We start from the raw sequence: 13,356 nt of genomic DNA on the forward strand, positions 1-13,356 counted from the left end.
CCATTGTTTTGGACTGAGCTCATGCACTAGGCCCCAACAGACCAAACCAGACAAAACTGGGGTTGCTTGTGCTGAATGTAACATAATCAAACTACGTTTGATCATGGAAAACATAGCAAACAGATTCTAGAACAGACCAGGTTTTGTTTTTCTTCTGTAAACAGAATGTTCCAACATATGGACATACCCTCTACTCGGTCCTTGTTCCCATCTTTGCCAAACTCACTGTTCTGCTCTTTCCCAGTAAGTTTCAAGAGCCATGGTAATAGTAACATCAATAACTAAAGTTTTGGTCAATATCTCAAGATTGAGAAAATGACCCAAAGAGGGAAATTGTTAAATCAAGTTTAGCCTAAAGCTGCCTCCTTACATATTAAAGTTCAACCTAAAGGTTTTTCTATACATCGTGAACTATAACAAGTGAAGTTGTAAACCAACTGTAGCCCACATCTGTACCAATCACTGAGTTTTGGCCAAATGTAGCTAACAGTTCCAACCATGTTCAAATAAGGCAAAGACCCAGCTGCAACCAATCCAGTTGCTTCTGTACCTCACTTTCCTTTTGCTGTCCATAAATCTTCTTCCACCACGTGGCTGCGCTACAGTCTCTCTAAATGTGCTGTAATTCTGGGTGCTGCCTGATTCTCCCATCATTCATTGCTCATACTACTTTACATTTAATTTGGTTGAAATTTTTCTCTTAACGACAATCATAGAATCAGTGTAACAATCTGTCTTGAAAAGTAGTAAAGTGTGTTACTTCTATAGGAGAAAACAAGACATCTGTAATGATAAGCCAGAATGGTCACTGCAAACAGCAAGATGTATATTTAACTCAGCCTATTCTTTGTGTAAAATATATATATATATAAAATTTAAAGTAGTTTGAGCAATGAACGATGGGAGAATCAGGCAGCTCCCAGAATTACAGCAGATTTAGAGAGACTGTAGCGCAGCCACGTGGTGGAAGAAGATTTATGGACAGCAAAAGGAAAGTGAGGTACAGAAACAACTGGATTGGTTGCAGCTGGGCCTTTGCCTTATTTGAACATTGTTGGAACTGTTAGCTACATTTATATATATATAATCTATTTATATATTATTAAATATATTTACATTTTTATATATTATATATTATTAAATATATTTATTTTTATATATATTATATATTAAATATATTTATATTTAGATATATTATATATTAAATATATTTATATTTAGATATATTATATATTAAATATATTTATATTTAGATATATTATATATTAAATATATTTATATTTAGATATATTATATATTAAATATATTTATATTTATATATATTATATATTATTAAATATATTTATATTTAGATATATTATATATTATTAAATATATTTATATTTAGATATATTATACATTATATATTTACATATATATTTATATCTTTTTATATATAATTTTAAATTTATAAATATTTATATATAATATATATAATATATTTATAACTTTAAATTTATAAATATTTATTTATATATAATATATAATATATTTATAAATGTTAAATTTATAAATATTAAATTTATTTATATTTATTTATATATAATATATATTTATTTATATATTATGTATATTTATATATATGGAAAACACATTTTAACTAGCTTCTTCACTCTCTCTTTTATCACTTTTTTACTTAGATTTAGAACAATGTGAATAGTTCATGAGCTCAAATGTTCTCCCAAGTTCAGTTAATAACACCAGCTTGAGGTTGCTGTACACACTTAAGGAAATGTGCTAATATTTAATAAAACTAATATTAATAATTACCTCATAGACCCTCCACTCTTTCTCTTTTTCATAATAAGCAAATCTCCTCTTTTTATAAGGCTCACATTGGAGGGTTTATGCCATATTTATTTTAATACACCGACTTTGTGAAGATATCCTGAGTTCTAGAATTTTTTACATCAACATTTTTCAGATTGATTTGTCATGAATGTTATTCCCTGTCCATCTTTTTTTCATCTGTAACTGTTTATTAGGACTTGTTATGTACCAGACATTTTGCTAGCAACTTTATAAGCAGTATCCCATGTAATCCTCAAAATACTCTATGAGGAATTTTTGTTATTTATTCTCCTTTACAGGCAAGGGAATCTAAATCTCAGGGAAGTTCATTACCTGTTCCAGTGTTACAGAGGAGAAAGGTGATGGAACTGGGATGTTAGTTGCATCCAGGCAATCCTACATCAGCTCTCACTTTTAATCTCTTCCCAACTTTGTCTCTCTCTATTTCTTTTCAGCTGTTAATGATTTCATATGTATGATTGATTTTGCCTGACTGAGCCAAACTATATTAGCATGTTATTAGATTAGAATAACTTAATCTCTTTACTTGGAGAAAAAAAAAACAAATCAATTAAACAACTGCACTGATGAGACAGAGGAACTGTTTTAGGCATAATGTAGTCTAGAAGTTTTTTGAGTGTGATCAACAGACCAACAGCATCCACATCATACACAAATGTATTAGAAATGCAAATTCCTGGGTACCATTCCAGCATGAATGAATCAGAAACTAAGGAAACAGCAATCTGTCTTTTAACACATCTTTTAAGTGAATTTTAAATTCTAAAATATATTAACCACTGCCATAACAAAGGGGTCAGCAAATTAATGAACATGAGTCAAGCTTAGGCACCTCCTATTTGTTTGCTTTTTAAAATTTCAATATGATATACATACATCATTTAAAAATTTTTAAGTGTATAATTCTATGGTAGTAATTACATGCAAAATGTATAAACATCAGAACTATCTATTTCTAAAATTAGCTCATCACTCCAAACAAAAACTATACTCATAAAACAGTAACACCTTTTAACTCTCCCCTCACATCCTAGTAATCACTAACATATTTTCTATCTCTATGACTTTTCCCATTCTAGATATTTCATATGTTTGGGATCATACAATATTTGTCCTTTTGAGTCTGGCTTATTTCACTTAGAAAATGTTTTTAAGGTTCATTATGCTGTAGTGTGTATCAAAACATCATTCTTTTTTATGGCTGAATAATAATCCTTTGTATTTATGTACAACATTTTTGTTCATCTATTCATTGCTTAAAGATTCATCTGTTAGGGTTTTTCTACCTTTTGACTATTGTAAAAAATGCTGCAAAAAAAAACACTGGTGTACAAGTATCTGTTTGAGTCACGCTTGAATTATTTTGGGTATATACCTAGAAGTGGAATTATTCTATGTTTAGCTTTTTGATTAACCTCCAAATTGATTTCCACAGTAAGCGCACAATTTGATATTCCCACCACCAATGTAAGTGTCTTTAACTTTATCCACATCTTGGCTAACCCTTTTTCCTCCCCCTATTCTCTCTCTCTATTTATGTATTTATTTATTTTTATTACTGTCATCATAATAGTTGTGAAGAAGGCCAGGTGTGCTGGCTCATACCTGTAATACCAGTACTTTGGAAGGCTGAGGCAGGCTGATCACCTGAGGTCAGAAGTTCGAGACCAGCCTGGCCAACACAATGAAACCCTGTCTCTACTAAAAATCTGAAAAACAACAACAACAACAACAACAACAACAACAACAACAAAATTAGCCGGGCGTTGTGGCATAAGACTGTAGTCCCAGCTGCTCGGGGGGCTGAGGCAGGACAATTGCTTGTTGAAACAGGTGTCCTTTCCTCACTTTGTTTTTGTTTACTTTGTTGAAGATCGGTTGGCTGTAAGTATTTGGATTTATTTCTGGGTTCTCTATTCTGTTCCATTGGTTTATGCTCCTATTTTTATACCAGAGCTTTTGCACTGCAAAAGGAACAGTCAGCAGAGTAAATAGACAACCCGAAGAACGGGAAAAAATATTCACACTCTGTACATCTGAGAAAGGACTAATATCCAGAATCTACAATGAACTCAAACAAATCAACAAGAAAAAACAAACAATCCCATCAAAAAGTGGACTAAGGACATGAATAGACAATTCTCAAAAGAAGATACACAAATGGCTGACAAACATATGAAAAAATGCTCAACATCACTAATGATCAAGGATGGGTACACCAGAATCTCATAAATCACCACTAAAGAACTTACTCATGTAACCAAACACCACCTGTTCCCCAAAAAACTATGGAAATTAAAAAAATAGGTTCTTTGTCTTCTGTTATTGAGTTTTAAAGATTCTTTATATATTTTGGATATTAAATCTTTATGAGATATATGATTTGCAAATATTTTTTCCATTCTGTAAGCTATCTCTCACTTTCTTCATAATAATGTCCTTTGATGAACCGATGTTTTCAACTTTGATAAAGTTCAACTTATCTAGTTTTTTGTTGCTGTGGTATTTTTGGTGTCATATTTAAAAATCCATTGCCAAACCCCAGTTCATATTTATCCCTAAGAGTATCATGGTTTTGGCTCTCATATTTGAGTCATCGATTCATTTTGAATAAATTTTTGTATATAGTATGAGTAAATTTTTTACACATGGTGTGAGTTAATTTTTGTATATGGGATGAAGCCTAACCTTAATTTGCCTTTGGAAATTCAGTTGTCCTAACATCATTTGTTGAAGATTTTTCTTTGCCCATTGAATAGACTTGGCAGGCTTGTTGAAAATAAATATTTCATATTTATATTATGGAAATATAAATATTTCCATAAATATATGGTTTATGTCTGGATTCAATTCTATTCCATGTATCTATATACCTATCCTATGCCAATTCCATGCTGTTTTAATTACTGTAGGTTTTTGATAAGTTTTGAAATGGTAGAGTTTGAGTCCTCCAACTTTGTCTTTGTTTTTTAGGATTTCCATGTACAATTCTAGGAATTTGAGAATTGGTATTTCAGTACCAATTCAGTACTGTTTCAGTAAAATGACTGTTGGAATTTTACTAAATATTGTATTGAATCTTTAGACAGCTTTGGTAGTTCTGCTATTTTAGCACTATTAATTTGTCTTCAAATCCATCAACACAGGGTTGCTTTCAATTTGTTTAGAACTTCTTTAATTTCTTTCAGTGATGCTTTGCTCTTTTCAGTGTACAAGTGTTCACATTTTTCATTAAATTTATTCTTAGGTGTTTTGTTCTTTTAGATACTATCATAAATGGAATTTGTTTCCTAATTTTGTTTTTGGATTATTTATTTCTAGCATATAGAGACATGAATGAATCTTGTGTGTTGACCTTGTAATATGCACTTTTGCTGAATTTTTTATTAGCTCTAGTAGCTTTCTGATGGATTTTCTTCAGATTTTTTTTATATATAGAATTATGTAATCTGAAAGGAGAAATAATTTATTCCTTTCCAGTTTGGATACCTCTTATTTGTCTTTCTTGCTGATTGCTCTGCTAGAAGTTGCAATGTTCACTAGTGATTAAAGCAGACATCCTTGTCTTGTTCCTGATTTTAAAGAAAAGTGTTCAGTCTTTCACCACTGAATAGGTTGTTAGCTGGGGGTATTTTTAAAATGTCCTTTATTAGGTTAAGGAAATTCCCTTCTATATGCTCAGTGACTTTTATCATGAAGGTGTGTTGAATTTTGTCAAACGCTATTTCTGTGTCAATGAATTGATCTTTTTCTTCTTCTTCTTTGCTCTATTACATCGGTAATTTCAGTGTGCTTCTTTACATTGATTGGTTTTCTTATGTTGAACTACTTTTGCATTTATAAGATAAATTCTTCTTGGTCATAGGGCACAATCCTGTTTAGGAATTTGGTTTCCTAGTATTTGGTAAAGATTTTTGCATTTATATGTGTAAAAAATATTCTCCTGTAATTTTCTTTACTTGTGATCTCTTCATCTGAACTTACACTAGGGGAAATGCTTGTCTCATAGAATGAATTAATAAGTAATATCTCCATTTCTGTTTTTGGAAAAGTTTGCCAAGCAATTTCTGCCAGTTCATCTCTAAATGTATCCTAGAAGTTACTATTAAAACCATCTGGTATTCGCGGTAGCTCATGCCTGTAATCCCAGCACTTTGGGAGGCCAAGGCAGGCGGATCACGAGGTCAGGAGATCGAGACCATCCTGGCTAACACGGTGAAACCCCGTCTCTACTGAAAATACAAAAAATTAGCCGGGCGAGATGGCGGGCGCCTGTAGTCCCAGCTACTTGGGAGGCTGAGGCAGGAGAATGGCGTGAACCCAGGAGGCGGAGCTTGCAGTGAGCCGAGATCACGCCACTGCACTCCAGCCTGGGTGACAGAGCAAGACTCCGTCTCAAAAACAAAAAAACAAAAAACAAAACCATCTGGTAGGTATCATAATTTTCTTGATTGGGTGGGTTTTTTACTACAACTTCTATTTCTTTACCTGTTATTGGTCTGTTGACATATATTTATTATTTCTTCTTGAGTGAGCTTAGGTAATTAGTGTGTTTCTAGAAAATTCAACAATTTCATCTAGGTTATCTAGTTTATGGCCTAATTTGGTCATATTATTCTCACAATCATTTTTATTTCTATAAGGTCAGTAGTAATAGCCCCAGTTTTATTTCTGATTTCAGTTATTTATTATCTCTTTTCTTCTTTATCAGTATAGATTTGTCAATTTTGTCGATTTTTTCATAGAATCAGCTTTTGGTTTTATTATTTCTTTCTCTATAATTCCTGCCCTGTATTGTATGTATTTCCATTTTAATTATCATTATTTCCTCCCTTCTACTTGTGTTTAATTTGCTCTTCTTTTCTGGTTCATAAAAGTTCGAAGTTATATTATTGATTTGAGATCTTTTGTACATTTTTAAATGTAGGCTCTTACAACTATAAATTTTCATCTGAGCACTGCTTTTGCTTCATCTCATAAGTTTAGTATGTTGTGTTATTACATATCTTCAGATATTTGTAATTTCTCTTCTTCGATCCATTGCTTGAAAAGGCACTCATGGTTTAATTGCCATATATTGTACATTTTTCAGTTTTTCTCCTGCTGTTGATTTAAAGTTCCATTCCATTGTGTTCTGAGAAGATGCTGTGTATAAGTTTAATGTTTTTAAAATATACTGAAGAATTCTTTGTTGCCTAACACATGGGCTATCAGAGAGAACATGTATTCTGCTGTTGTTGGGTGGAATGTCCTGTGTATGTCTATTAGGTATAGTTGATTTATATAAACACTATACTTTAATTCCCCTATTTCCTTGTTGCAGATTTTCTATCAAGAATTTGAAGTGGCCTATTGATGTCTCCAACTATTATTGCAGAACTACACATTCTTTCCCTAAATTTTGCCAATGTTTGCTTTGTATATTTTGGGGGCTCTGTTGTTTAGTGTGTGCATATTTATAACTGTTATATCTTCTTGATAAATTGATCCTTTTATTAGTGTTTAATGCCCTTGTTCCAATTGTAACAGTGGTTAAAGTCAATTCATGTCATATTAGTAGAGCCACACCACCTCTCTTTTGGTTACCATTTGTATGGAATATATTTTTCTGTTTTTCACTTTCAATTTATTTGTGGCTTGCATCTAAATTGAGTCTCTTATAGAAAATATGTAGTTGTATGATTTTAAAAATCCATTACACTGATTTTTGCCTCTCAATTGGAAAGTTTACTTCATTTACTTTTATAGAAATTATTGATGAGAATTACTACTGCCATTTTGCTTTTTGTTTTCTATAATTTTTTGTTCATTTCTTCCCTTAATACTTTTTTTGTGATTAGTTGATTTTTATAGTGAAATGTTTTAAAAAGCTTTGTCATTTTCTTATGTGTGCATTTTAAAAAAATTGTCTCTAACTGCCATAAGGATTCTATTTAATAAATTTATAATCATCTATGTTTTAATTAATGCGAACATAATTTCAATAGCATGAAACACTCCATATCTATGTAGTCCCCTTACCCATTTCATGTTGTTTCACAAATTACATTCATATACATTCTGTGCTGAATAACATAAATTTATAATTATTTTTATAAATTTTTTTCAACACATATAGAAAATAAAAATGGAGTTATAAACTAAAAATAAAATAATGCTAAGTTTTATAATTGCCCATGGACTTACTTTTTCCAGGAAACCTTTATTTCTTCATTCATCTTTAAGTTATTGTCTAGTGTCTTTTCATTTCAACCTGAAGGAATCTGTTTAGCATTTTTCACTGGACAGGTCTGCAAGTTATAAACTCCTTCATCTTTTGTTTCTCTTTAAATGTATTAATTTTTTACTCATTTATCACAGAATGTTTTGCTAGATAAAGAATTCTCAGTAAGTAGTTGTTATTGTTTTTGGTCTTTCTTTCAGGACTAAAACATGTTATTCCACTATCTTCTCACCTCCATCATTTATAATGAGAAATCAGCTATTAATCTTATTGAAAATCCCTTGTAAATAATAAATTGATTTTCCCTAGCTACTTGCAAAATTGTCTGTCTTTAGCTTTCAATAATTTGACAACTGTATGTCTCAGTGTGGATCTCTTTATCTTACTTGATGTTTATTCATGTTTCTTGAATTTGTATATTTATGTCTTTCATCAAATATGGAAAGTTTTCAGCCATTATTTCTTCAAATATTTGTCCTGCCTTTTCTCTCTGTCATCTTTTTCTGGGATTCTCCTTCATATGTTGGTCCCCTTGATGGCATTTCACAAGCCCCTTAGGTGCCATTTACTTTTCTTTATTATTTTTTTTTCTACTTCTCAGACTTGATAGATAGAATAGATAATTTCTATCACCCTATTGTGAATTTCCTGATTTTGCCTTTTGGCTGGTAAAATTTGTGTTGAATTTCTCTATTTAATTTTTTTATTCCAGTTTTTATACTTTAAAGCTCCAGAATTTTTGGCTCCTTTTATAGTTTTTCTTTATTGATATTTTTATTTTGTTCATTTATTATATTTCTGATTTTTCTTATTTGGTTGTTCAGGTTTTCCTTCAATTATTTGAGCATGTTTAAGATAATTTTTAAAAATAATCTTTTTGCCGGCAATTACAACATCTAGACATTTTTAGGGATGGTAGTTGTTAATTTATTTTGTTCTATTAAATAAGTCTTATTTCCTATTTCTTTGTATGCCTTGTGATTTTTTTGTTAAAAAAATGGACACTTGAATATTACAATGTGATTCTGGAAATCAAATGTTCCTACTTCTCAGGGTTTGCTCTTTTGTAATTATTGAAGGCTGTAGTAAACTCTTGGTATAATGACATTTCTCTACTGTTTTTCAGCAAATATATTTGTTGCATATATTGTGAATAAAGTTTTTGTTCTTTGGCTTTTTTTGTTCAGCTAATGTTTGACAGAGTTTTCTTGAACACCAGGAACTAAAAAAAACAACAACCAACCAAACAACCTCTCTCTGTCTTTACTGTTTGGCTCTGTCTGAGTACCTCTTTAAACACTTAGCCAGACTTGCATTAAGGTTAGGGATATGTAGACTAAATAAAGAATATGTGGTACATATATACCATGGAATATTATGTAGCCATAAAAAGGAACAAGATTATGTCATTTGCAGGGACATGGATGGAGTTGGAAGCCATTATTCTCAGCAAACTAATGCAGAAACAGAAAACCAAACACTGCATGGTCTCACTTCTAAGTGGGAGCTGAACCGTGAGAACACATGAACACATGGGGGGAAACAACACACACTGAGGCCTGTTAAGGGTGGTAGGGGCTGGCAGGAGTGAAAACATCAGGAAGAATAGCTAACGGATGCTGGGCTTAATAACTAGATGATGAGTTGATCTGTGCAGCAAACTACCATAGCACACATTTACCTATGTAACAAACCTGCACATCTGCACATGTACCCCAGAACTTAAAATAAAGGTTGAAAAAATAAAAGTTTAGGGATCAGTATCAGACAAAACAAAGATCCAAAACACTATAAAACTTAAGGACTTCTTAGGTATTTTTTGAACATGCACTGTATAATTGGCATGTATGAGGCTTTTCAAATCTCTCCTAACTCATGGGTGTTTTTTATTACCCTAATTTTCCAAGGAATATCTCTGTTCTTATTGTGTTTCCAGGCCTTGGATATTTGTTTATATATCTTAAATGTCTTTTGCCTCAAGCTTAGGTTTCTTAGGAGTCCAACAATATATTTAAGCAACTCCCACCACTTTTACCGCTTGGATATGCTGTGCAATAGACAAAACAGATGAAAGCACCTTACATCATTCCTCCAGGTAGCCCCCATAGAGGTTAAAACGGGCCAAAATAATTTGCAAATGAAGTTGTCTCTTCTACCTCTGGAAACAGGGACTATTCTCTCACACTGGGAACGTGGGCTGCTGTCTGCAAGACTGCTCTTCAACTGGGGAGTGGTTATAGAAAGGGAAAGTAAAACTGCCACAATGATTTTTTATTATTTTTACATTGACATTTTATTGCTTTAGTGTTCACTGTGTTGCTATAAACCTGTCTGTTTTCCAGTGTTCTGACAATGTTGATTCTGATGGCTTCTACTCATTTTTCAATATTTCTATGGAGGGACAGAAGCTTGGAGTTGCCAAATGCGACATCTTGCTTATGTCACTCCCTCCTATCTGTTTTAGTAAACTTTTTTGTGTGCGTGTGACAATACAACAATTTAAATTTATTGCATATACTCGTGGCTGCTGTTTTGCTACAATGAGTTGAGTTCAACCAAGATTATATACCCTACAAAAAACTAAAGCACTTATTATCTGGCCAATTGAAAAAAAAAACATTTTCTGACCTCTGCTCTAGACTGGTAAAGTTCAGATTTCACAAATTTCAAATAGATAACTTCCTTTATAGCCACTTTGTTTTTATAGTCCGCCTTCACATTTAATGAGTCTACATTTATTACTTAGTACTTGGTATATACCAAAAATTCTTGATCTCTTTCCTGAAATTTTACATCTACTTTAGAGTTAAAAAAATAACTAGAACTCAGAGCATCTCAGAAATGTTCAGTCTCAGCAAGCTAGTGAATGTTTTACTGTGAACAGATTCACAGGCTTTACTGATTCCAGAGCCAAAATGCTAATAAGTTTAAACATATATTTTGGATAAAATTGATCTGCCTCCATAACAAAGGCACTGGTCTTACAGTTAACCTGTAAATCAGTTGTGGATGTAAAGGCATTATTGCCAATTCAATTTGGTTGAGATGAGCTTTAGTATTCAATCCTATTGTTCTGAGTGTCAATTAGAGCCAAGAGTGAGCCTACAATGTTATCGATGTTATCGATTCTCCTCCAGCTGAGAACAAAGTTCTAGAATGGCCAGCTCATTTTTCTGGTCTTTATTAACCTAGGCAGCCTACACCTGCATTTATATTTAATTATCATAATGAGCTTCTTTTTAAAATAGTATCACAGAGGGGGATCAGAGTGTTTGTTCATTAAATCTCTAATGAAACATTGTATGTAGCATAAATGTATTATTCTGGATTATATTACATCACATCAAAGTACAGAATTTAACAGAATGTATCCCAAACTCCATAATAGTTTGGCCAGATACAGAAACAATTTCCTTCATCCCTACTGAGAGCAGACTGAGTTGTGGAATTCCCAAATATAGCTTTCATTGAAATGGATGGGACTTCTAAGATCAGTAGTAGCATTTATATGATGTTATTCTTCAATTGTAAGCCATTAATTTGATTAGTTATCCATTTGCATTTTTACTTGTTATACTGATTTCATTGCAAACTGGAGAAAAAATAAAGGAAAAACAAGCAAGAAGATTTAACTTTACAAATGTTTCATTTCCACTAATTTCTACTATTTAAAAAAAGAAATGTAAATTGAAGCAGCATAACTTAGGCAAAAAGCATTGGATTCATATTTGGAGTCCTGGATTCTACTCACAACTCTGATAATAATTAGCTGCTGCTTCTTTTTTTTTTTTTTTTTTGAGACGGAGTCTCACTCTGTTGCCAGGCTGGAGTACAGCGGCACAATCTCTCCTCACTGCAACTCTGCCTCCCAGGTTCAAGTGATTCTCCTGCCTCAGCCTCCTGAGTAGCTGGGACTACAGGTGCGTGCCACCATGCCTGGCTAATTTTTTTTTTTTTTTTTTTTGGATTTTAGTAGAGATGGAGTTTCACCATGTTGGCCAGGATGGTCTCGATCTCCTGACCTCATGATTTGCCCGCCTGGGTCTCCCAAAGTGCTGGGATTACAGGTGTGAGCCACAGTGCCTTGCCTAATAATTAGCTTCTTAAGCTTGGGCAAGTAATGACCATTGTGTTTCACTTTAAAATTAATGATAAAATTAATCATTTTATCAGTGATACAATTAATCATTTTATCAGTGATAAAATTAATGTGTAAGAAGGTATTGTCTCTGCTTCAGAAAAATATGTGCTGTATGTTATTGTTTTCACTGGGAAAGAATTGGCAAATTCCATATTTTATATTAAGCTCCTCAAATTTTATGTTCCTCATTGTGGGTTCATTCTGTACTTAACCTTGTATTATAAGACTTGCTATTGTGGATGCTGTGGATGCCAAGGCCCTTGTCCCACTGTGGTTTTACTAAAAATCTAGTTGCAAAAGGCAGATTAGGAGGAAAAAAAGACTTAGAAATTCATTTAATGAGTATACACGGCAGCCTTCCAAATGCAGACCCTAAGATACAGGGGAAATTAACAAAGTATGGACAGCTGTGTAGAAATACTATTGGAAGAAAGGTATATGACCTAATAATGCTAATAGACTGGGTAGGGAAACCCAGCAAGGCCTGTCAGTCTAGATTTTTCTTGACATTTCTAAGCATGTGTTTTTTTCTTCTTCTGGTTATGGGGCAGCAACATCTTTGGAGTGGGGGTCTTAAGATGTTCAGTCAAACGAGGTAAGTCAGATAATTTCTTTATGGCCAGTTTTCACACAGATAAAGTGGAGGAAAAATCAGAGTAATATATTTAGGTTTTATGGCTAGCTTTAAAGAAAAGGGGTTCTAGGGGTTCTGTTTACTATGACCCACTGTTGTGGAAGAGAGATTCTAGTTTCCATGGCCAGCCTTATGGGAGAATAAAACTGAGAGACAAGAGGACAGGAGAAGGTCAGAGAAAAATGTTTGTTTCTGAGGCTGCTGCTGAGCCTTTCATTTGGGGGTTTTGTTTTCTGATCCCCAGAACTATCCTACATTGTAATTGCCTATTTACTTGTCTGAGTTCCCTAGTTAGACCCTGTGCTCCTTGAAGGCAGTGAGTAGTTTTTAAATACTATTTTACTCAATTGCAATTGCTTAATATCTGGCACACAGCAGGACCTCTACAAATATCTGTGCATGAAAGAATATAATTTTCATCACTCATTCTATTCTGAAATGCACACACACACATACACACACTGATGAATCAATCAATGGATAAACAGACAGGTAGATAACAGCTAA

The sequence above is a fragment of the Homo sapiens genome, chromosome 10 (genome assembly GCF_000001405.40).
Source record: "Homo sapiens chromosome 10, GRCh38.p14 Primary Assembly".
In the NCBI taxonomy this organism is placed as follows: domain Eukaryota; kingdom Metazoa; phylum Chordata; class Mammalia; order Primates; family Hominidae; genus Homo; species Homo sapiens.